General features: G+C 53.7%; 1 protein-coding gene and 2 long non-coding RNA genes across 4 annotated transcripts, besides 7 other annotated features; 2 read left to right on the top strand and 1 right to left on the bottom strand.

The window, feature by feature from the left end:
* Positions 913–22,045, top strand: TFR2 (transferrin receptor 2). 2 transcript variants are annotated; one of them, NM_003227.4, is made up of 18 exons: positions 913–988; positions 1,237–1,489; positions 1,593–1,779; positions 8,909–9,049; positions 9,125–9,236; positions 9,342–9,464; positions 10,267–10,383; positions 10,520–10,659; positions 11,413–11,576; positions 13,093–13,212; positions 14,159–14,241; positions 14,329–14,392; positions 14,491–14,558; positions 14,645–14,721; positions 14,804–14,888; positions 14,974–15,201; positions 15,562–15,702; positions 21,339–22,045. In NM_003227.4, the coding sequence occupies exons 1-18, from the start codon at positions 956–958 to the stop codon at positions 21,606–21,608; spliced, it is 2,406 nt and encodes an 801-aa protein (NP_003218.2). In that variant the 5' UTR covers positions 913–955; the 3' UTR covers positions 21,609–22,045. The 2 variants fall into 2 exon arrangements, with proteins under 2 accessions (NP_003218.2, NP_001193784.1); NM_001206855.3 differs by lacking the exons at positions 913–988; positions 1,237–1,489; positions 1,593–1,779 and having other exon boundaries at positions 8,815–9,049.
* Positions 9,053–9,112: a silencer, noted in NCBI's record as "silent region_18453". NCBI's record gives its function as "represses an Ori minimal core promoter by ATAC-STARR-seq in GM12878 lymphoblastoid cells {active_cell/tissue: GM12878}" and the evidence as "EXISTENCE:reporter gene assay evidence [ECO:0000049][PMID:35858748]".
* LOC124901709 (uncharacterized) lies at positions 9,363–20,343 on the bottom strand. Its single transcript, XR_007060454.1, has 3 exons — positions 19,911–20,343; positions 11,240–11,309; positions 9,363–9,542 (listed from the first exon to the last, which is right to left on the bottom strand). It is a non-coding gene; the product is annotated as an uncharacterized LOC124901709 (long non-coding RNA).
* Positions 9,493–9,612: an enhancer, noted in NCBI's record as "active region_26378". NCBI's record gives its function as "activates an Ori minimal core promoter by ATAC-STARR-seq in GM12878 lymphoblastoid cells {active_cell/tissue: GM12878}" and the evidence as "EXISTENCE:reporter gene assay evidence [ECO:0000049][PMID:35858748]".
* Positions 14,505–15,267: an enhancer, noted in NCBI's record as "H3K27ac-H3K4me1 hESC enhancer chr7:100224821-100225583 (GRCh37/hg19 assembly coordinates)". NCBI's record gives its function as "activates a minimal SCP1, AML or CMV promoter by ChIP-STARR-seq in naive H9 embryonic stem cells {active_cell/tissue: H9 hESC(naive)}" and the evidence as "EXISTENCE:reporter gene assay evidence [ECO:0000049][PMID:30033119]".
* Positions 15,268–16,032: an enhancer, noted in NCBI's record as "H3K27ac-H3K4me1 hESC enhancer chr7:100224056-100224820 (GRCh37/hg19 assembly coordinates)". NCBI's record gives its function as "activates a minimal SCP1, AML or CMV promoter by ChIP-STARR-seq in naive H9 embryonic stem cells {active_cell/tissue: H9 hESC(naive)}" and the evidence as "EXISTENCE:reporter gene assay evidence [ECO:0000049][PMID:30033119]".
* Positions 15,510–15,569: a silencer, noted in NCBI's record as "silent region_18452". NCBI's record gives its function as "represses an Ori minimal core promoter by ATAC-STARR-seq in GM12878 lymphoblastoid cells {active_cell/tissue: GM12878}" and the evidence as "EXISTENCE:reporter gene assay evidence [ECO:0000049][PMID:35858748]".
* Positions 15,565–15,859: an enhancer, noted in NCBI's record as "tiled region #4647; HepG2 Activating non-DNase unmatched - State 10:DNaseD, and K562 Activating DNase matched - State 5:Enh". NCBI's record gives its function as "activates a minimal TATA promoter and a strong SV40 promoter by Sharpr-MPRA in HepG2 and K562 cells {active_cell/tissue: HepG2 | K562}" and the evidence as "EXISTENCE:reporter gene assay evidence [ECO:0000049][PMID:27701403]".
* Positions 15,630–15,769: a silencer, noted in NCBI's record as "silent region_18451". NCBI's record gives its function as "represses an Ori minimal core promoter by ATAC-STARR-seq in GM12878 lymphoblastoid cells {active_cell/tissue: GM12878}" and the evidence as "EXISTENCE:reporter gene assay evidence [ECO:0000049][PMID:35858748]".
* Positions 15,715–17,911, top strand: LOC124901710 (uncharacterized). The gene is made up of 2 exons (XR_007060455.1): positions 15,715–16,115; positions 16,235–17,911. It is a non-coding gene; the product is annotated as an uncharacterized LOC124901710 (long non-coding RNA).

Below are 22,724 nucleotides of genomic sequence, written 5' to 3'. Positions count from 1 at the left end.
GCCTGTTTAGCAGTTTATGCCTGTGACATGTTTCTGGGGTGAGGCTAACTGGCCTTTCATCAGCCTCAGAACCCAAAGAGGTAGAAACCCATGTGATCCAAGTCCTTCGGTGACCAAACGGGCCGGTGCCCAGGGAGGACCATGACTTGTCCAGGGTCACCCAGCTCTGCCCACACCTTGGCGGGGACTCTGATCACTCCTCCCCACTGACCCACATATCCCTGACCCCAGGACCCCTATCTGGGAGCTCTCGCTGGTCTCATCTGACCATGTGCTCCCACCTGTGCCCCTCCTTCTCCAGCAGCCAGCAGGAGTCTGAGAACGACCTTTCAAAAGAGACACACATGCACACCACCAGACCAGACCCCCAAGTCACACCACTGTGGTGCCTCCAGCTTAGAATGCCACTGGGGCAAGTGTCAGGACAGGGAGGACAGCTGATATGTCACAGGACCGGGGCACTGGGGGACTCTGAAGGCCAGATGAGGAAGGGGCAGATGTCTTAGGGGTGAATCTTCCACCTGGGCATGGCGGGGCTTAGGAAGGGGTCCCCAGGATCCAGGGAGGGGTAAAAGCAGGAGAGGGGAGGGGGCACCCATGTCTCTGCCCTCCCCCACTATCGGCCCCCTTCCCCCACCCCTGATGGGAACTAGGAGGCCAAAGTCCGCCCCAAGGTCAAAAAATTGATTGTTTTGCAGGGAGGAGGCAGGCGTGGGGCTGTGGAGAGATTGGCAGGGGAGAGCACAGCCCCTTGTGCTCTGGCCTGGACCCGGGGGCCACGTCTGGAAGGCTGGACTGAGGCCAGGACTGTGCCCCCACCCTTGGGGGTGGTGAGGAGCAGCCTTGGTTCAGGCTGCCTGCCAGGACTGATAAGGGGCCCTCCTAGGGCTCCCACAAACGGTTTATCGGTTTATCGCTGGGGGACAGCCTGCAGGCTTCAGGAGGGGACACAAGCATGGAGCGGCTTTGGGGTCTATTCCAGAGAGCGGTAAGACTAGTGGGATTGGGAAGACCCCTTAGGCCTTCTCTCTAAGTCCCTCAGCCCCCTCCCAAGCCCCTGAGGCTGGCCCCTCCTGGACCGTGTCCTGACCTCGCTTCTTCCCACCCCTGCCCCTCCCCCACGCCCCCACCACCATGCTCATTTGACACCCCCAAGTCACTGACCTCATTATTGCCAGATGCCTCCCCACCCCCCAGGCCTCTTGCCCCAATCTCATGCCCACCTCGCCTGCACAGCAACAACTGTCCCCAAGATCCTCTCAGACCGTCTACCAGCGTGTGGAAGGCCCCCGGAAAGGGCACCTGGAGGAGGAAGAGGAAGACGGGGAGGAGGGGGCGGAGACATTGGCCCACTTCTGCCCCATGGAGCTGAGGGGCCCTGAGCCCCTGGGCTCTAGACCCAGGCAGCCAAACCTCATTCCCTGGGCGGCAGCAGGACGGAGGGCTGCCCCCTACCTGGTCCTGACGGCCCTGCTGATCTTCACTGGGGGTGAGAGCCGTCCCCCTCCCCAGAAGTGAAGGGCTTGGGCTGGGGGAGATTTCTGGGGTCCAGAGGTGGGCATAAAGAGAATCCCCATCTTGCCACCCGCCAGCCTTCCTACTGGGCTACGTCGCCTTCCGAGGGTCCTGCCAGGCGTGCGGAGACTCTGTGTTGGTGGTCAGTGAGGATGTCAACTATGAGCCTGACCTGGATTTCCACCAGGGCAGACTCTACTGGAGCGACCTCCAGGCCATGTTCCTGCAGTTCCTGGGGGAGGGGCGCCTGGAGGACACCATCAGGTAGGGATGGCCCTGCCCCATCCTGTTCTCGAGTGTCCCTCCCCTCATCCGCTCAGACTGGGCCTCCCTGCCTCCTGGCCCAGGCCTCTGGTGTCTGGGTCCCCCTCCTGAGTCCTCCCATCTGCCTTCCTGGCCCCCCTGTTCAGCGGTCCTGGGAAGGATGGCAGGCATTCGGAGCTGAGGTTCCAGGGGACTGAGGCTCTGAGGGTGGCATATTTGGGAGGTGAGGGAGCTGACTGTCTGAGATCAGAGGGGTGCAGCATCCAGTATCAGACTGGACAGACCCAGAAAAGCCTTGAATGCCTCACCCAGGCGCCTAGATTTGGAGCAGGGAGCGCTGAGGGGTTCTGAGAAGCCGCATTCTAGGGAATCAGAAAACCAAGCAAGCAAGCCTGGGCAATACGATGAAACCCCGTCTCTACCAAAGAAAACACAAAAATTAGCTGGGGATGATGGCGAGTGCCTGTAGTCCCAGTTACTTGGGAGCTTGACGGGGGAGGATTGCCTGAGCCGGGGAGGCGGAGGTTGCAGTGAGCCGAGATTATGCCACTGCACTCCAGCCTGGGAGACAGAGCGAGACCCTGTTTCAAAAACAAAATAACGGCAGGGTGCGGTGGCTCAGGCCTGTAATCCCAGCACTTTGGGAGGCGGAGGCGGGCAGATCACTAGGTCAGGATATCGAGACCATCTTGGCTAACACGGTGAAACCCCGTCTGTACTAAAAACACAAAATATTAGCCGGGCATGGTGGCGGGCGCCTCTAGTCCCAGCTATTCGGGAGGCTGAGGCAGGAGAATGGCTTGAACCCAGGAGGTGGAGCATGCATTGAGCCGAGATCACGCCACTGCACTTCAGCCTGGGCAACAGAGCGAGACTCCATCTCAAAAAAAAAAAAAAAGAAAAGAAAAAAAGAAAAACAAGTAAGCAAATGCATTTGTGGGTGCAGATCCAAAAGCTAGGTCCACCCATAGCCCTCTTTTGGGACGGGAGTAATTTTTCAGTGGATTCGCCTGGGTTTTCTAAGTAGGTAATCAGCTAAGCTACAGATAGTAGGAGATGGAGATTCTCTTTTCCAATGCTTATACCTTCTACGTTTTTTTTTTTTTCATTTCTCATTGCATTTGAGAGGACATGAATTTAAGGTAACCGTGGCAGTAGGTATCCTTGCCTATTTCCTGACTTTAATAGCAATGCTTTTATAATACTTTGCCATTGACAATGAACTTTGCTGTGCTCCAGACAGCTTTTTAAAATTGAATTAAGGAAGTTTCCTTTCACTCCTAGCTCACTGAGACTTTTATTGATTGATTGATTTTTTGAGACGGAGTCTCCCTCTTATCACCCAGGCTGGAGTGCAGTGGTGCAATCTTGGCTCACTGCAGCCTCCGCCTCCCAGGTTCACGCGATTCTCATGCCTCAGCCTCCTGAGTAGCTGGGATTACAGGTGTGTGCCATCACGCTTGATTAATTTTTGTATTTTTTAGTAGAGACAGGGTTTTGCCATGTTGCCCAGGTTGGTCTCCAACTCGTAAGCTCAAGCGATCTGCCAAAGCGCTTCGGCTTCCCAAAGTGCTGGGATTACAGGCATGAGCCACAGCACCCAGCCTCTTCTTTAATGTTTATATAGTAATTTGTGTTAATAGATTTCCTTATCTTCCTGAGCTCAACGCTAACCTTGATCAAGGTGTATGATTACTCTTTTGATATGTTGCTGGATTCACCTGCTGAAAGACCTTGAGTCTGTGGAATCAACAATGTTCAGGGCTTTATTTTTTTGAGATAGGGCCTCACTGTCACCCAGACAGTGCCGAGATGATAGCTCACTGCAGCCTCCAACTCCTGGACCCAAGTGATCCTCCCACCTTAGCCTTTCAAGTAGCTAGGACTACAGATGTGTGCCACTATGCCCGGCTATTTTTTTTTTTTTTACTTTTTTTGAGACAGAGTTTCACTGTTGCCCAGGCTGGAGTGCAGTGGTGCGATCTCGGCTCATGGCAACCTCCACCTCCCAGGTTCAAGCAATTCTCCTGCCTTAGCCTCCCGAGTAGCTGGGATCACAGGTGCCTGCCACCACACCCAACCAATTTTTTGTATTTTTAGTAGAGACGGGGTTTCACCATGTTGGGCAGACTGGTCTCAAACTCCTGACCTCAGATGATCCACCCACCACGGCCTCCCAAAGTGCAGGGATTACAGGCATGAGCCACCATGCCCAGCCTAATTTTTAATTTTTTTTAGTAGAAACGAGGTCTCCCTATGTTGCCCAGGATGGTCTCAAACTACTGGCCTCAAACAATCCTCCCACCTCAGCCTCCCAAAATGCTGGGATTATAGGAATGAGGTACCGCACCCAGCCTGCTCAGGGCTTTTAAATTAAATTACAGGTCAGGCATGGTGGCTCACACCTGTAATCCCAGCACTTTGGGAGGCCGAGGTGGGCAGATCATGAGGTCAGGAGATCGAGACTATCCTGGCTAACATGGTGAAACCCCGTTTCTACTAAAAACACAAAAAATTAGCTGGGCGTGGTGGCGGGCACCTATAGTCCCAGCTACTTGGGAGGCTGAGGCAGGAGAATGGCATGAACCCGGGAGGCGGAGCTTGCAGTGAACCGAGATCGCGCCACTGCACTCCAGCCTGGGCGACAGAGCAAGACTCTGTCTCAAAAAAACAAAACAAATACAAAATTAGCCGGGCGTAGTGGCGCATGCCTGTAATCCCAGCTACTCGGGAGGCTGAAGCAGGAGAATCGCTTAAACCCAGGAGGCGGAGGTTGCGGTGAGTCAACGTCGTGCCATTGCACTCCAGCCTGGGCAACAAGAGTGAAACTCCATCTCAAAAAAAAAAAAATTAAATTACATTAATTTTTTTTTGAGACAGGGCCTTGCTCTGTCACCTAGGCTAGAATGCAGTGGTGCAATCTGGGCTCACTGCAGCCTCGATTTCCCAAGCTCAGGTGATTCTCCCATCTCAGCCTCCTGAGTAGCTGGGTCTACAGGGAGGGGCCACCACGCCCAGCTAATTTTTCATTTTTCTTTTTTCAAAATTATTATTATTATTTAGGGACAGGATTTATTTATTTTTATATATTTGCAACCAATTCTCACTCTGTTGCCCAAGCTGGAGTACAGTGGCATGATCTTAGCTCACTGTAACCTCCGCCTCCCGGCTTCAGGTGATTTTTGTGCCTCAGCTTCCCAAGTAGCTGGGACTACAGGCGTGAGCCACCATGCCCAGCTAATTTATGATTTTTTTGTTTGTTTTTTGTTTTTTTCTTTTTTTTTGTGAGACAGAGTTTCACTCTTGTTGCCCAGGCTGGAGAGCAATGGCACGATCTTGGCTCACTGCAAACTCCGCCTCCCGGGTTCAAGCGATTCTCCTGCCTCAGCTCCCCGAGTAGCTGGGATTACAGTCATGCGCCACGACACCCAGCTAATTTTGTATTTTTAGTGGAGATGGGGTTTCTCCATGTTGGTCAGTCTGGTCTCGAACTCCTGACCTCAGGAGATCCACCCACCTCGGCCTCCCAAAGTGCTGGGATTACAGGTGTGAGCCACTGCGCCCGGCAATTTATGTATTTTTTTTAGGGACAGGGTTTCATCATGTTGGCCAGGCTGGTTTCGAACTCCTGGGCTCAAGCAATCCTCCTACCTTGGCCTCCCAAATTTCTTGGATTACAGGCGTAAGCCATGGTGCCCAGCCTGTTCAGGGCTACTTTTATTTTTTTGAGCAGTATTTGGTCATCTGGGTACAGGCTGAGCAGGTAGATAGTTTGACAGGTCTAGAAGCGGGGTGTGGCACTGAGGCAAAAGTAGCAGTTTTGGGGAGAGAGCAAGGATGTTGCAGTGAGCCGAGATCGCGCCATTGCATTCCAGCCTGGGCAACAAGAGTGAAACATGGCTCTCGGTGGGATGGAGAGGGAAGAGAAAGTGGGGGGAGATGATACATGTGGAGCTATAGGACATTTGTCATGTTCAATGGGGTTGAAGAGCAGGTACAGCGAGGATAACTGGGGGAGTTGGAACCTGACAGGGTCTACTCAGAGAGTAGGATTCTGGATCCTTGAAAACTTCCTGATACAATATATCCTGTCTATCTCAGAGTCTCCAGCACCTACCACAATGCCTGGCACTTACTAGATGTTCAGTAGATCCTCAATGGATAAGTATTCCAGAGATGGAGTGCGGGTAATGACAAGATGCAGGATACGGGCCAGGCACAGTGGCTCACGCCTGTAATCCCAGCACTTTGGGAGGTCAAGGCAGGTGGATCATCTGAGGTCAGGAGTTTGAGACCAGCCTGGCCAACATGGTGAAATCCTGTCTCTACTAAAAATACAAAAATTAACTGGGTGTGATGGTGCATGCCTGTAATCCCAGCTACTCGGGAGGCTGAGGCAGGAGAATCACTTGAAACTGGGAGGCAGAGGTTGCAGTGAGCTGAGATCGCACCAATGCACTCCAGCCTGTGAAACAGAGCAAGACTCCATCTCAAAAAAAAAAAAAAAAAAAAAAAGATGCAGGGTGTGACCAGGGAAGTGGAGTGCCTGGACTGGAGGTGACAATGATGAAGTAATTAATTCATTTATCCAACAAGTATTTTGGGGCATCTACTACGTGGCAGGTACTAAGCTAAGCAGGTGGTGGTGAGATAGAGACTAAAACAGTCTAACTTTGTTCTCATGGTGCTTACAATCCACTGGAGAAAACCAATACTAAACTAACAATCATTCACGACTACATAATTATGACTGGAATCATTGCTTTGAAAGAAAAGCAAAGGATGTGAGGCTCAGTGTGGTGGCTCACACCTGTGAGCCCAGCACTTTGGGAGGCTGAGGTGGGAGGATCTCTTGAGCCCAGTTTGAGACCAGCCTGGGCAACATAGAGAGATCCTGTCTCTTAAAAAAATAATAATAATTTGACCAGGCACGGTGGCTCACACCTGTAATCCCAGCACTTTGGGAGGCCAAGGCAGGTGGATCTCCTGAGGACAGGAGTTCGAGACCAGCCTGGCCAACATGGTGAAACACTGTTTCACCCTTTTTAGGCTCTACTAAAAATACAAAAAAAATTAGCTGGGCATGTTGGCGGGCACCTATAATCCCAGCTACTTGGGAGGCTGAGGCAGGAGAATTGTTTGAACCTGGGAGGTGGAGGTTGCAGTGAGCCAAGATTGCGCCATTGCATTCCAGCTTGGGCAACAAGAGTGAAACTCCATGTCAAAAATAATAATAATAATAATAATAATAATTTTTTAAAAAAGAAAAATAAAAAATTAGCCCAGTATGGTGGTGCATGCCTAGAGTCCCGGCTATTCAGGAGGCTGAGGCAGGAGGATGGCTTGAGCTTAGGAGCTGAAGGTTGCAGTGAGCTATGGTCATGCCACTGCACTCCAGGCTGGGTGACAGAGTGAGACCCTATCTCCAAAAAAAGAAAAGAAAAGGGGCCGGGCGCCATGGCTCATACCTGTAATCCCAGCATTTTGGGAGGTGAAGGTGGGCTGATTGCCTGAGGCCAGGAGTTTGAGACCAGCCTAGCCGACATGCCGAAACCCTGTCTCTACTAAAAAAATACAAAACTAGCTGAGTGTGGTGGTAGGCGCCTGTGGTCCTAGCTACTCAGGAGGCTGAGGCAGGAGAATCACTTGTACCCAGGAGGCAGAGGTTGCAGTGAGCTGAGATTGCACGACTACACACCAGCCTGGGCGACAGAGCGAGACTCCGTCTCAAAAAAAAAAAGAAAGAAAGAAAGAAAAAAGAAAAGAAAAGTGTGTAAAGAAAGACTATAACCAGGATCCTGATTTAGATTGCAGTTCAGGGAAGGCTTCGTTGAGGAACTGACGAGTCTAAACTGCCAAGATGAGTAATTTGCCAGGCAAAGAGACTGTGGAAAAACATTCAGGCTGAGATTCACCATTTGCGAAGGGTCTGAAATGTGAAGATGGTGGCCTCTTGGAGGAAGGGAAAGATGGTCCATGTGGCCGGTGAGGTGGATGTAGCTCAGGCCCTAAAGGGCCTTACTGGCTACTTTAACTGTTTTGAATTGAATTTTCCTGCCTCATCCCTGAGTGATCCTCCCCACTCCCCTCCCCATAAGCACCTTATCTCACGCTTTTGATGTGTAGCTTTAAATACACATATGGGGCGGGTCGTCATGGTTCATGCCTGTAGTCCCAGCACTTTGGGAGGATCGCTTGAGGCCAGGAGTTCAAGACCAGCTTGGGAAACACAGCAAGACTTCTCGTCTACAAAAAATTTTTAAAAATCAGCGGTTGGTGGCGTACACCTGTAGTCCCAGCTGCTCAGGAGGCTGAGGCGGGAGGATGGCTTGAGCCCAGGAACCGGTGATTCCCCTGAGTACCTTGGTGTAAAGTGTCTCCATGAGGCCCACGTGGAGGATGGGGGAGATGAGGAGGGTCTGCTGCCTGCCCAGTTAGCTCTTTCGAAGGAAAGTGTTTGGGTGCTGTGTGTGTGTGTGTGTGTGTGTGTGTGTGTGTGTGTGTGTGTTGACGTCGGGAGGAACGAGGTTGGGGGAGAGAGTTTGGCTTGAGCCGGGAAGAACCTACAGGATGATGGGCAGGACCCCCAGCTATGGGAAGTCAGGTTTTAAGCAGAGTGAGGTCCTGAGAGTCTCCGGCGCCGCCCTGGTGGTGATGGGAGAAAATGGGTCCGCGGAGGGCCCTGCACTGCGGCTCGCGCCTGTAATGCCAGCACTTTGGGAGGCCGAGGCGGGCAGATCACCTGAGATCAGGAGTTTGAGACCAACCTGGTCAACATGGTGAAACCCGTCTCTACTAAAAATACAAAAATTAGCCGGGCGTGATGGCACGTGCCTGTAATCCCTGATACGAGGGAGGCCGAGGCAGGAAAATGGCTTGAACCAGGAAGGCGGAAGTTGCAGAGAGCCGAGATTGGTCCACTGCACTCCAGCCTGGGCGACAGAGCGACACTCCGTCTCAAAAAAAAAAAAAAAAAAAAAAAAAAAAGCGTCCGCGGGGAGCGCTCTTTTCCTAAACTCAGGAACCCCTCGCCGCCCCTGCCCCTGGCGACCCCACGTCTCTGGCATCCTTCCCTCTTCCCTCCCTCTCCTCCGGGCGCCCAGAAAAGTCCCCACCTCTCCCCGCTTAGGCAAACCAGCCTTCGGGAACGGGTGGCAGGCTCGGCCGGGATGGCCGCTCTGACTCAGGACATTCGCGCGGCGCTCTCCCGCCAGAAGCTGGACCACGTGTGGACCGACACGCACTACGTGGGGCTGCAATTCCCGGATCCGTGAGTGCGCGCGCGGGCGGGGGGCGCGCGGGGAGGGGGACGCGGCTCGGGGCGCTCACCAGCCCCGCTCCCCAGGGCTCACCCCAACACCCTGCACTGGGTCGATGAGGCCGGGAAGGTCGGAGAGCAGCTGCCGCTGGAGGACCCTGACGTCTACTGCCCCTACAGCGCCATCGGCAACGTCACGGTGAGCACCCCCTGCCCGCTCCTAGGATGGGGCGCGGCACGAGCCCTTTCCTGGGTCTCGAAGGAGGGACGCGGGGAGCGCGCCTCACCGTCCTCGTGTCCCCAGGGAGAGCTGGTGTACGCCCACTACGGGCGGCCCGAAGACCTGCAGGACCTGCGGGCCAGGGGCGTGGATCCAGTGGGCCGCCTGCTGCTGGTGCGCGTGGGGGTGATCAGCTTCGCCCAGAAGGTAAGTGTCCCTGGACAGAGGGAGGGCTTGAGCCCGGGAACCGGAGGGTCGGACTGCCAGTGAGAATCGTTCAGGGTGCTGTGAGAGGGAGACAGGAAAGAACCATGTGGCTGGATGGTAAGAAAATATAAGCTGGGCACGATGGTTCTCACCTGCAATCCCAGCACTTTAGGAGGCCAAGACAGGAGGATCGCTTGAGGCCAGGAATTCAAGGCAACACGGTGAGAACCCCCTCTCTACTAAAAAAAAAAAAAAAAAAAAAGGTTCTTTTTTTTTTTTTTTTAGTTAGCTGGGCTGGTGGCACATGCATGTGGTCCCAGCTACTCCGGAGGCTCCGGTGGGAGGATCGCTTGAGCCCAGGAGTGCCAGGCTGCAGTGAGCTATGATCGCGCCACTGCACTCCAGCCTGGGCAAGAGAGACTCTGTCTCAAAAAGAAAAAAAAAAAAAAGAGAGAGAAACAGAGAAGGGAGGGAGGGAGGGAGGAAGGAAGGAAGGAAAATGTTGGCTGGTCTGGGAATTGAATCAGAAGGAAAAAAGAAAATGTTGGCTGGGAACAAATTGGGTGTTGGGGGAAATCAGATGGGGAAGGGAACAGAAACATGGGGTACCCTGGAGCCCGGTGGGGTTTGAGGGCTGCCTAGGAGCTGCTGAGGTTGGGAAGACACAGGCCAGGTAGTGCCCCCACATCCTCTCCGTGGGATGGACAGTTGCAAGCAAAGGCCTTGCCATTTCCTGGTTTCTCCTGCCCTTATGAATCGGGTTTTTTTCTGGGAGGAGTCCTCTAGTCACCTTCCTCCCCAGGTGACCAATGCTCAGGACTTCGGGGCTCAAGGAGTGCTCATATACCCAGAGCCAGCGGACTTCTCCCAGGACCCACCCAAGCCAAGCCTGTCCAGCCAGCAGGCAGTGTATGGACATGTGAGTCTGGGGAGGCTGGTCGTGCTGTTCCCAGGTCCCGAGGCCACACCTTCTTGCTCAGAATAGGGCTGGCATGTTTTTCGTTTTTCCTGGAAGCCCAGCTCGCAGCTTTGCGTGGGCACCCCTTTCCCTGCAGGTGCACCTGGGAACTGGAGACCCCTACACACCTGGCTTCCCTTCCTTCAATCAAACCCAGTTCCCTCCAGTTGCATCATCAGGCCTTCCCAGCATCCCAGCCCAGCCCATCAGTGCAGACATTGCCTCCCGCCTGCTGAGGTGAGGGGAGTGTTGGGGACCAGAAGAGGAGGAAGCAGAGAGAGGAAGGCTGCAGCGAGGCCACAGGGTGATTGTGGGTGAACTAGAAAAAGGTGACTCTTGTTTAAGCCTGCAGTGAGCCATGACTACACCACTGCACTCCAGCCTGGGAGACAGAGAGACCCTGACCTTTTTTTTTTTTTGAGATGGAGTCTTGCTCTGTCTTCCAGGCTGGAGTGCAGTGGTGCAATCTTGGCTCACTGCAACCTCCACCTCCCGGGTTCAAGTGATTCTTCTGCCTCAGACTCCAGAGTATCTAGGATTACAGGTGCCCCCCCACCACGCCCGGCTAATTTTTGTATTTTTAGTAGAGGGTTTCACCATGTTGGCCAGACTGGTCTCGAACTCCTGACCTAGTGATCCGCCCATCTCGGCCTCCCAAAATGCTGGGATTACAGGTGTGAGCCACCATGCCTGGCCGGGACCCTGACTCTTTAAAAAAAAAAAAAAAAAAAAAAAAAGTGACTCTTCTGGATGGACACAGCCTTTCTCCAGGGTCTACTGTCTGGCAACTAAAGTTCCCACTGGATTGCACACCTACCTCAGCTGAGAACCATCCAAGGCAGCCCTGACTGCACTGCCCTACCCAGGCAGCGTCCAGAGGCAGCGATCTGGAGCCAGAAAGGGTGGGAGGGAAAGAAATAAGGAAAAGAGTGATTTGGACTCTTCTGGGTCTCTCTACAACTTCCCCCTTTCTGCCTTCCTCCTCTCCAGGAAGCTCAAAGGCCCTGTGGCCCCCCAAGAATGGCAGGGGAGCCTCCTAGGCTCCCCTTATCACCTGGGCCCCGGGCCACGACTGCGGCTAGTGGTCAACAATCACAGGACCTCCACCCCCATCAACAACATCTTCGGCTGCATCGAAGGCCGCTCAGAGCCAGGTATGCTGTGTGTCCAGTATCACTCACAGCTGGTGGTGGGCTGGGGGAATTTCTGCCCATACACCCTGGCAAGATAGGGGGCTGGTGCAGGAGGCCCCAAGAGGGGACAGGAGTGGTGCCCAGAGGAGGGAAGCTGGCAAGTTGAGGCTGAACTGGGTCTGATGGTGGCAGCAGTGAACAGACCTCACCTTCCAGCCTGTCTAGTGATGGAATGGGGGTTGTTGCCCAGTAGTGAGCTCCCCAGCACTGGAAGTGAGTAAGCCTAAGTTGGATGATGTTGTAATAGAAACTCAAGCATGGGCCGGGTGTGGTGGCTCACGCCTGTAATCCCAGCACTTTGGGAGGCCCAGGCAGGTGGATCACTTGAGGTCAGGAGTTTGAGACCAGCTTGGCTAACATGGTGAAACCCCGTCTCTACTAAAAATACAAACATTAGCTGGGCCCGGTGGCATGCATCTGTAATTCCAGCTATTCCGGAGGCTCGGACAGGAGAATCACTTGAACCCAGGAGGTGGAGGCTGCTGTGAGCCGAGATTGTGCCATTGCACTCCAGCCTGGGCAACAGAGCAAGACTTTGTCTCAAGAAAAAGAAAAAAAAGAGAAAGAAAGAAAGAGAGAAAGAGAAAGAAAAAAAGAAAGAAAGAGAGAGAGAGAAAGGAAGGAAGGAAGGAAGGAAGGAAGGAAGACTCAAGCATGAAAGAAAGATCAGATCAGATTAGATAGAAGCATAGATGGCCCTTTCAAGCATAGCTAGATGTGGATGGCAGTGGAGAATTAAAATAAGTAATTGACAGATGGGGCAACAAAGCCAAGACTTCACAAAAAATTTAAAAATAAGAGAAATTGGCTGGGTGCGGTGGCTCACGCCTGTAATCCCAGCACTTTGGAAGGCCGAGGTGGGCGGATCATGAGGTCAGGAGATCGAGACCATCCTGGCTAACATGGTGAAACCCTGTCTACTAAAAATACAAAAAAATTAGCTGGGCATGGTGGCAGGCGCCTGTACTCCCAGCTACTCAGGAGGCTGAGGCAGGAGAATGGCGTGAACCCGGGAGGTGGAGCTTGCCGTGAGCCAAGATCGTGCCACTGCACTCCAGCCTGGGCAACAGAGCGAGACTCCAAAAAATAAATTAAATAAATAAATAAGTAAGTAAGTAAAAGAAATTAGCCGAGCATGGTGGCACACATCTGTGGTCCCAGCTACTTGGGAGGCTCAGGCAGGAGGATGGCTTGAGCCAGGGAGTTTGAAGCTGCAGTGAGCTATGATCACACCACTGCACACTCCAGCCTGGGTGACAGAAACCTTGTAAGTCCAGAATGACCTCAGGCACCCAGCTGAAGGAGCACACCATCCAGGAAGGGCCAAGTGGGGAGGGGCGCCCTCTTTAGGGACTGGAGGGACTGCAGGGCTAGGGTTGCCGGAATTGTGATGGGCTGAGAGACACAGGCAGATGGAGGATGCCCCCAGGGTGCAGGGTGCAGTGTCAGAAGTGGGTCCCAAACATCCCCTCCCCAGATCACTACGTTGTCATCGGGGCCCAGAGGGATGCATGGGGCCCAGGAGCAGCTAAATCCGCTGTGGGGACGGCTATACTCCTGGAGCTGGTGCGGACCTTTTCCTCCATGGTGAGCAACGGTAAGGTCAGGGCCAGGGCCTGGGCCTGGGCTAGGCAGCGGTGGGCCTGTGGCCCGAGGAGGATAGGGCAGAGAGGCAGTGAGGGACACAGACTGGCCAGTGGTCACTTGGACCTCGGCATCCACATTGTACCTGAGTGGCCCTGGGCCAGTCACTTCACCTCTATTTCGTCACCTAAAAATGAAAGTGAGGCCGGGTGCGGTAGCTCACGCCTGTAGTCCCAGCACTTTGGGAGGCCGAGGCAGATGGATCACCTGAGGTCAGGAGTTTGAGACCAGCCTAGCCAACATGGTGAAACCCTCTACTAAAAATACAAAAATTAGCCAGGCGTGGTGGAGGGCGCCTGTAATCCCAGCTACTAGGGAGGCTGAGGCAGGAGAATCGCTTGAACCTGGGAGGCGGAGTTTGCAGTAAGCCGAGATCGCACCACTGCACTCCAGCCTGGGCAACAGAATGAGCCTCCTTCTAAAAAAAAGAAAGAAAAGAAAAGAAAAAAAGTGACATGAATGATAATCATAGTCCATGGGTCTGTGTCAAGATTAAGCATGTTGGGCTGGACGTGATGGCTCATGCCTGTAATCCCAGCACTTTGGGAGGCCAACACAGGAGAATCGCTGGAGACCAGGAATTCAAAACCAGCCTGGGCAACATAGGGAGACTGCATCTCTACAAAAGTTTTTTAAAAATTGGCTGGACTTAGTGGTGCATGCCTGTAATCCCAGCTACTTGGGAGGCTGAGGCAAGAGGATGACTTGAACCTGAGAGGTCAAGGCTACATTGAGCCATGATTGCACCACTGCACTCCAGCCTGGGCGAGAGAGTGAGATCCTGTCTCAGAGAGAGAGACAGAGAAACAGAGACCCTGGGGGACCAGGACAGAAGAAGACAAGGGGAGGGTCTTTGCTTGGCCCCTGCTAAGCCTGTCCTCCTTCCCCTCTGTCCCCAGGCTTCCGGCCCCGCAGAAGTCTCCTCTTCATCAGCTGGGACGGTGGTGACTTTGGAAGCGTGGGCTCCACGGAGTGGCTAGAGGTGATACGGGGTCCCGGGCAGGTCGTTAGGCATTGGGGAGAGGTGGGGGTGGGGGGTTCCCACTCCACACTGGTCACCCACCCACAGGGCTACCTCAGCGTGCTGCACCTCAAAGCCGTAGTGTACGTGAGCCTGGACAACGCAGTGCTGGGTGAGCTGGGGCAGTGCCACCACCTGGCCCCCTGGGGTCCACCCTTGCCTCTGGGGCTGAGCCCTGAGCCTGGCATCCCTCCCCTCCCCTTTTTCCAGGGGATGACAAGTTTCATGCCAAGACCAGCCCCCTTCTGACAAGTCTCATTGAGAGTGTCCTGAAGCAGGCAAGAGCACCCCAGGAATAGGGGGTGAAGGGGAGTAGGTTGCGGGGAGGAGCAGAGCCTGATCAGTGCCCTTCCCCAACCCCCAGGTGGATTCTCCCAACCACAGTGGGCAGACTCTCTATGAACAGGTGGTGTTCACCAATCCCAGCTGGGATGCTGAGGTGTAAGTTGGGGGGGTAGGGAGAGCTGGGGAGGGATGTGGGGGAGCCTGAACCCACAGATCGCTCCAACCCACCTGCCCCCAGGATCCGGCCCCTACCCATGGACAGCAGTGCCTATTCCTTCACGGCCTTTGTGGGAGTCCCTGCCGTCGAGTTCTCCTTTATGGAGGTGAGACGTCCTCCCCCTGCCCCAGACACAGCGCTAGTCCTTCAGCCTGTCTGCCTCCGCCCCAGCGTCCACCCTGTCCTGGCAGGACGACCAGGCCTACCCATTCCTGCACACAAAGGAGGACACTTATGAGAACCTGCATAAGGTGCTGCAAGGCCGCCTGCCCGCCGTGGCCCAGGCCGTGGCCCAGCTCGCAGGGCAGCTCCTCATCCGGCTCAGCCACGATCGCCTGCTGCCCCTCGACTTCGGCCGCTACGGGGACGTCGTCCTCAGGCACATCGGGAACCTCAACGAGTTCTCTGGGGACCTCAAGGTTCAAGAGGCCCACCCCGCTCTTGGTCTCTGGGAGTGGGAGGCACTGCCCAGGCCAGGGGGTCCAGCCCCTTCTCTCTGCATTCCCTGGGGTCTAGGTCCTCTCTGGCAATCCAGCCCATTAACCCCCTGCCTCCAGTCTCCCAGCCCCCAGCATGTGCCATCGCCCAACCTGGCAGGTGCAGGATCTTCTCCCCACTCCCTTCATCCTGCCTCCAGCACTCTGTCCTCGTCTACCTCCTCCCTCCTGCGGCCAGGGGTCCCAGCCCCCTTCCCCATGCTAGGCGGGGGTCCTTGTCCCCATGCTAGGCGGGGGTCCTGGCCCCTGCCGCCAGCCCCAGCCCGCGCCTCCCCACCCCAGGCCCGCGGGCTGACCCTGCAGTGGGTGTACTCGGCGCGGGGGGACTACATCCGGGCGGCGGAAAAGCTGCGGCAGGAGATCTACAGCTCGGAGGAGAGAGACGAGCGACTGACACGCATGTACAACGTGCGCATAATGCGGGTGAGGCCCCGCCCTCCTCGCCCCGCCCCCAGTGTCCCGCCCCTCCCCTGGGGCTCCACCTCCTGGACCTGGCCCCGTCTGCGCGCTCCTCTCTCTCCCCGCCTACACAGTCCCGGTCCTCTGGATGCTCTCTTCCCAGTCCTGGACACGCAGTGCTCATAGATCGGTCAGGCTGGAGGACCCGAGCGATCAAAGTGATGAAATGGACAGGGAGGGCCAGCCTCTTGGCCACAGTCGCCTGGTTTACGCCTGGCAGAACTGGGACAATCCACCCTCCCCCACCCCTCCCCGCTGACTCCCCTCCTATAGCTCCCACTGCCTCCTCGACCCTTCTGGAAAGAAAAAGCATGTCCACACTGGTCCACAATACGAGGTTACAGGCTGGGAAGTGCAGAAGGCTAAAGATATTCAGAGTAAGAGAGCTGTTTTCCTTCTGATAATGAAATGGGTGAAATCCAGAAAGGCTGCCTGGAGGAGGTGTCACGTGAAAGTTAAACAAGAGCTTATTCCCTCACCAATCCCTTCTGCTTAGCTTTGAATCCTTTGCAGCCCACACCCCACCTCCAGTTCCAACTCCTCCACTTCCTTCCATTTTCTTACTCCAAGAACTCAACCCCTCAACCCTTTGATGTCAAGAAATGGGTGAGTAGGGACTGTGGCCATGGGGAAAGGTCTGCAGGGCAAAATAGTAAACAGGATCATCCTCAATGAGTGTGGGGTGAGCTGGGAACTGCAGTGTACACAGAGCCACTTGTGCACACACACTCACGGTTTTCAGAGCCAGCATGGCTACCCCTTGGAGGCTCATGTTATCTCTCCTCCTTGCATTTTCCTGCTTGTGCCCTCTGCCTGTCCCCCTTGGCCATTTACAAACCTATTGCTCTTGCTCGTTCTCCCTTGCCCAGACTAGAGTGCAGTGGCACCATCTCTGCTCACTGCAACCTCCAACTCCTGGGCTCAAGTGATCCTCCCACCTCAGCCTCCCTAGTAGCTGGGAGTACAGGCACGTGCCATGACGCCCGGCTAAATTTTTCTATTTTTTGTAGAGACAGGGTTTTACCATGTTGCCCAGGCTGGTCTCAAACTCCTGGCCTCAAGTGATCCTCCTGCCTCGGCCTCCCAAATTGCTGGGGTTACAGGCGTGAGCTACTGAACCTGGCCTTCTCCTCTCCTTCTTATATCTCTTTCTCCATTCATTCTTCTTTAACCTTTGCCTCCTCTACTGGAACAGGGGTGACCCTGGGGTGAGGCAATAGGTTGGGTATGGTTCATTCTCATTCACAGATCTTGGTTTAACCTCAGCTGTGTCAGCATGCAGAAGACAAAAACACCCACCTTTCAAAGTTGCCATACCCCTGTCCCCACCAGGGATAAAAGGGACCTGCGTGTAAGATGCATGACTTAGGCCAGGCACGGTGGCTTACGCCTGTAATCTCAGCACTTTGGGAGGCTGAGGTGGGCGGATCACCTGGGGTCAGGAGTTCGAGACCAGCCTGACCAACATGGAGAAACCCCGTCTCTACTAAAAATACAAAATTAGCTGGGCATGGTGGCACACGCCTGTAATCCCAGCTACTCAGGAGGCTGAGGCAGGAGAATCACTTGAGCCTGGGAGATGGAGGTTGCAGTGAGCCGAGAGCACGCCATTGCACTCCAGCCTGGGCAACAAGAGCGAAAATCCATCTCAAAAAAAAAAAAAAAAAGAAAAAGAAAAAGAAAAAGATGCATGACTCAGGCTCAGGGATGGAGAGGGAAGGACTCAGGACTTCAGAGCCTGCAATACAGGATTGGGCCAGACCCAGTGAATTTTATGGCTCTAGACCAGGGGTTGGTGAACTACTGCCCATTGGCCAAATTCAAACTGCCGCTTGTTTTTTTGTTTTTTTTTTTTCTGAGACGGTCTCACTCTGTTGCCCAGGCTGGAGTGCAGTAGCATGATCTGGGCTCACGGCAACCTCCACCTCCCGGGCTCAAGCAATCCTCTCACCTCACCTCAGCCTCCTGAGTAGCTGGGACTACAAGGACACACTACCACACTCCGCTAATTTTTAAAATTTTTTGTAGAGATGGGATCTCACTATATTGTCCAGGCTTGTCTCAAAATCCTGGGCTCAAGCGACTCTCCCACCTCAGCTTCCCAAGGTGCTGGGATTACAGGCGTGAGCCTCTGCTCCCTGTTTTTGTAAATAAAGTTTTATTGAAACAGCCATGCTTATTGGTTTTCACGCTCTCTATGGCTACTTTTGTGTAATAGCAGCAACGTTAAGTAGCTGCAATAAAAGCAGCATGGCCTGCAAAATCTAAAATATTTACTATCTGGCATTTCACAGAAAAAGTTTGCTGACCTTGGCTTTAGACTGTGACTTGGATCTTGAAGAACAGGCAGGATGTGGATTGATGCAAAGTAAAGAGGACATTTCAGGGTGGAGAGACCAGAATTCGGGTGTGGCAGTGAAATCAGTCTGGTTTTACTTGGAAGCGGGGTGTGGACCAGCAGAGCCAGAACAGGGGCCCCATGAAGAGGCAGAGGGGAGGGGACCACCAAATGTGGTGTTATCGATCAACTGTGGGGAGCCTCGAACACCAGGATTAGAAGTTTGGATGTTAAGGGTCTTAGCATCAAGGAAATTAGAGAGGTTTTTGAGCAGAGAGGTGATGTGAGCAAAGGGGAGTTTTTATTTTTATTTATTTTTCTTTCTTTATTTTTTGGAGACAGTGTCTTAATGTCACCCAGACTGGAGTGCAGTGGCGCGATCCCGGCTCACTGTAACCTCTGCCTGTCGGGTTCAAGTGATTCTCCCACTTCTGCCTCCCGAGTAGCTGGGACTACAGGCGCGCACAACCATGCCTAATTTTTTTTTTTTTTTTTTTTTTTGGTAGAGAAGGGGTTTCATCATGTTGGCCAGGCTGGTCTTGAACTCCTGACATCAAGTGATCTGCTCACCTCAGCCTCCCAAAGTGCTAGGATTACAGGCGTGAGCTACTGCGCCCGGCTGGGAGTTTTTGTTTTTGAAATGAGGTCTCACTGTGTTGCCCAGACTGGTATTGAACTCCTGGGCTCAAGTGATCCTCCCACCTTGGCCTCCTGAGTAGCTGGGACTATAGGTGCACACCACCACACCCGACTAATTTTTTATTTTTATTTTTGTAGAGATGAGGGTTTCCATACATTGCCCAAGCTGGTCTCAAACTCCTGAGCTCAAGTAATCCTCCTACCTTGGCCTCCCAAAGTGCTGGGATTACAGGCAGGAGCCACCATGCTGGACAACAAAGTAGAGTTTTTAGGAGTGATTTTGGTCAGATTGCAAATGTCTTGAGAGTGGCAGGTGGGAGCAAATGCTCATAGGTGGGGACTGGACCGATGTCAGGTGTTTAGAAGGAGAAATTGACAGATTTGATGTTGAGGGAAGAGGAGGAGAATAATAATAATAGTTGTCTTAGAATAGAAGAATAATAAAATAGCAGTTGCCATTTGTTTTTGTTTGTTTTTTGAGACGGAGTCTCGCTCTGTCACCAGACTGGAGTGCAGTGGCACGATCTCGGCTCGCTGCAACCTCCGCCTCCCGGGTTAAAGCTATTCTCCTGCCTCAGCCTTCTGAGTAGCTGGGACAACAGGCATGTGCCACCACACCCAGCTAATTTTTGTATTTTTAGTAGAGACGGGGTTTCGCCATGTTGGCCAGGATGGTCTTGATCTCTTGACCTCGTGATCTACCCACCTTGGCCTCCCAAAGTGCTGGGATTACAGGCATCAGCCACTGTGCCCGGCCTGTTTGTTTGTTTGTTTGTTTGGTTTTGTTTTCTGAGACAGAGTCTTGCTCTGTCACCCAGGCTGGAGGGCAGTGGCACGATCTTGGCTCACTGCAACGTCCGCCTCTTGGGTTCAGGCTATTCTTGTGCCTCAGCCTCCTGACTAGATGGGATTACAGGGACACATCAGCATACCTGGCTAAATTTTTTGTATTTGTAGTAGAGACAGGGTTTTGCCATGTTGGCCAGGCTGGTCTCAAACTCCTGACCTCAGATGATCCACCCGCCTCAGCCTCTGAAAGTGCTGGGATTACAGGCATGAGCCACTGTGCCCAGCTGCAGTTACCATAGTAGAAGGTTACCACATGCTAGAGGATTTATTTCATTTGCTTCCCCCAGCGCTGAGGTTGCTAGTATTATATCCAGAAACTGGGGCTAGGAGAGGCTAAGAAACTTACCTGAAATCATATAGTTAGTAAGTGGAAGAGCCGAAATTGGAGGCCAGGTAGTCTACCTTCAAAGCCTGTGCTCACCCCATGCTCACTCCCCTTTGAGGGTGACAGCTTGACACCTGCAGAAAGCCATGGGCCACATGAGTGTGGGCCCAACGCCCAGGTTTGGGAAGAGATCGGTACTGATATGTCCAGGTGCTCCCAAACCCAGTGGGGAGGTCCAGATGGCTGGAGGGCAGGATTCCAGTGGGTCACTGGGTGGGGAGATTTGGCATCTGTCCCCACAGAGGTCCTGGTTGACATCAGGGGCACAGATGAGCTCTGTGAGTGAATGATGGAGGCCTTAAAAAGATGTGAGCATCTGAAAATCAGCTGGGTATGGTGGCACGTGCCTGCACTCCCAACTACTCAGGAGGCTAAGGCGGGAAGATCACTTGACCTCTGGGGTTTGGGTTGCAGTGAGCTGTGATTGCACCACTGCACTCCAGCCTGGGTGACAGTGAGACCCTGTCTCTAAAAATAAAAGATGTGAGCATCTGAGATCACCCCCTAGAGATTCTGATTTTACTGGGGCGGTGCCCAGGCAATGATAATTTAATAGGTACAGAGAAGAGGGAGGTGGAACTTTGAGACCTGCCCACGGGTGGAAGCAGAACAAACCAGAGATGGGGCTAGGAGAGGCTAGGAAACTAGGAGAGGCTGGCAGAAAGGAGGGAGGAGATTAGGTCAGGAGCAAGGCCGTCTCAGGAAAGACGGAACAGCAGCTGCGTCAGAGGGAGGAAAGCCAGGCTTTTCATGAGGACTGGACTGTCCCCTTGACCTTCGTCTCTGGGCTGTGGACATTGGTGGGGGTGGAGAATGACTCGGTGTGGGGAGGTGTGGTGTTAAGAAGGGAACAGCAGGGCGATAGATTGTTCTTTGAGGCTTTGAGCATTCACTGAATGGGTGAGGAAGGAAGACTCGGGAGAACTACATGCAGGCTTAGGGGTTCTAGAGATAGAAGGGGAGGCCTAGCGTGGTGGCTCACACCTGTAATCCCAGCACTTTGGGAGGCCAAGGCGGGCGGATCACTTCAGGTTAGGAGTTCGAGACCAGCCTGGCCAACACGGAGAAACCCCGTCTCTACTCAAAATACAAAAATTAGCCGGGCGTCGTGGCGGGTGCCTGTAATCCCAGCTACTCTGGAGGCTGAGGCAGGAGAATCGCTTGAACGCTGAAGGCGGAGGTTGCAGTGAGCCGAGATCGTGCCACTGCACTCCAGCCTGGGAGACAGAGCGAGACTCCGTCTCAAAACAAACGAACAAACAAAAAACAAACACAAAAAGAAAACAAACAAACAAAAAAACAAAAAGACTGGCTGGCGGGAAGGGTGACTCGGGCCTTTGCTCCCGAGCCAGAGCCCCCAACCCTGACCTGATCCCCCTCTCTGCGCAGGTGGAGTTCTACTTCCTTTCCCAGTACGTGTCGCCAGCCGACTCCCCGTTCCGCCACATCTTCATGGGCCGTGGAGACCACACGCTGGGCGCCCTGCTGGACCACCTGCGGCTGCTGCGCTCCAACAGCTCCGGGACCCCCGGGGCCACCTCCTCCACTGGCTTCCAGGAGAGCCGTTTCCGGCGTCAGCTAGCCCTGCTCACCTGGACGCTGCAAGGGGCAGCCAATGCGCTTAGCGGGGATGTCTGGAACATTGATAACAACTTCTGAGGCCCTGGGGATCCTCACATCCCCGTCCCCCAGTCAAGAGCTCCTCTGCTCCTCGCTTGAATGATTCAGGGTCAGGGAGGTGGCTCAGAGTCCACCTCTCATTGCTGATCAATTTCTCATTACCCCTACACATCTCTCCACGGAGCCCAGACCCCAGCACAGATATCCACACACCCCAGCCCTGCAGTGTAGCTGACCCTAATGTGACGGTCATACTGTCGGTTAATCAGAGAGTAGCATCCCTTCAATCACAGCCCCTTCCCCTTTCTGGGGTCCTCCATACCTAGAGACCACTCTGGGAGGTTTGCTAGGCCCTGGGACCTGGCCAGCTCTGTTAGTGGGAGAGATCGCTGGCACCATAGCCTTATGGCCAACAGGTGGTCTGTGGTGAAAGGGGCGTGGAGTTTCAATATCAATAAACCACCTGATATCAATAAGCCACCTGTTGACATCTGTTATTGATAAGCGCCTTCATGCTTCTTCCTCACCCTCATGCCCATCCCATCCCATCATCCCTTCCTAGAGACCTAGGGAATTGGGCAGAAGGGACCAGAGAGGGTGCACACAGGAATGCTGTCTCCACGGGGAAAACCGAGCTGTTTCTATCACTCAAGGAAAATGCCTAAGGAAATACTGAAGGCCCCTTCTCCAAAGACCACCATAAAGCAGGTGGTCTTTGGAGAAGGGGCCTTCGGTATCTTTTTTTATTTTTGAGACGGAGTCTCACTCTGTAACCCAAGCTGGAGTGCAGTGACACAATCTCGGCCCACTGCAACCTCCACCTCCCGGGCTCAAGCGATTCTCCTGCCTCAGCCTCCTGAGTAGCTGGGACTACAGGTGTGCACCACCACGCCCGGCTAAATGTTTTCGTATTTTAGTAGAGACGGGGGTTTCACCATGTTGCCCAGGGTGGTCTTGAACTCCTGAGCTCGGGCAATCTGCCTACCTCAACCTCCCAAAGTGCTGGGATTACAGGCATGAGCCACCACACCTGGCCAGTATCTTGTCCTGGGATGAGGAATGGTTACATAATTTGCAAGACCTGCTGCAAAATGAAAATGCAGGACCCCTTGTTCAAAAGCAGAAACAAGCTGGGCACGGTGGCTCATGTCTGTA

The sequence above is a fragment of the Homo sapiens genome, chromosome 7 (genome assembly GCF_000001405.40).
Source record: "Homo sapiens chromosome 7, GRCh38.p14 Primary Assembly".
Taxonomy (NCBI): domain Eukaryota; kingdom Metazoa; phylum Chordata; class Mammalia; order Primates; family Hominidae; genus Homo; species Homo sapiens.
This window is presented reverse-complemented; position numbering and strand designations above follow the sequence as displayed.

Coding starts and splice junctions, on each gene's coding strand:
- TFR2 (NM_003227.4), top strand. CDS start 956: ATGGAGCGGCTTTGGGGTCTATTCCAGAGAGCG. Junction 1,490..1,592: donor CCTGCTGATCTTCACTGGGG/GTGAGAGCCGTC, acceptor GCCACCCGCCAG/CCTTCCTACTGGGCTACGTC. Junction 14,242..14,328: donor GCTCCACGGAGTGGCTAGAG/GTGATACGGGGT, acceptor ACCCACCCACAG/GGCTACCTCAGCGTGCTGCA.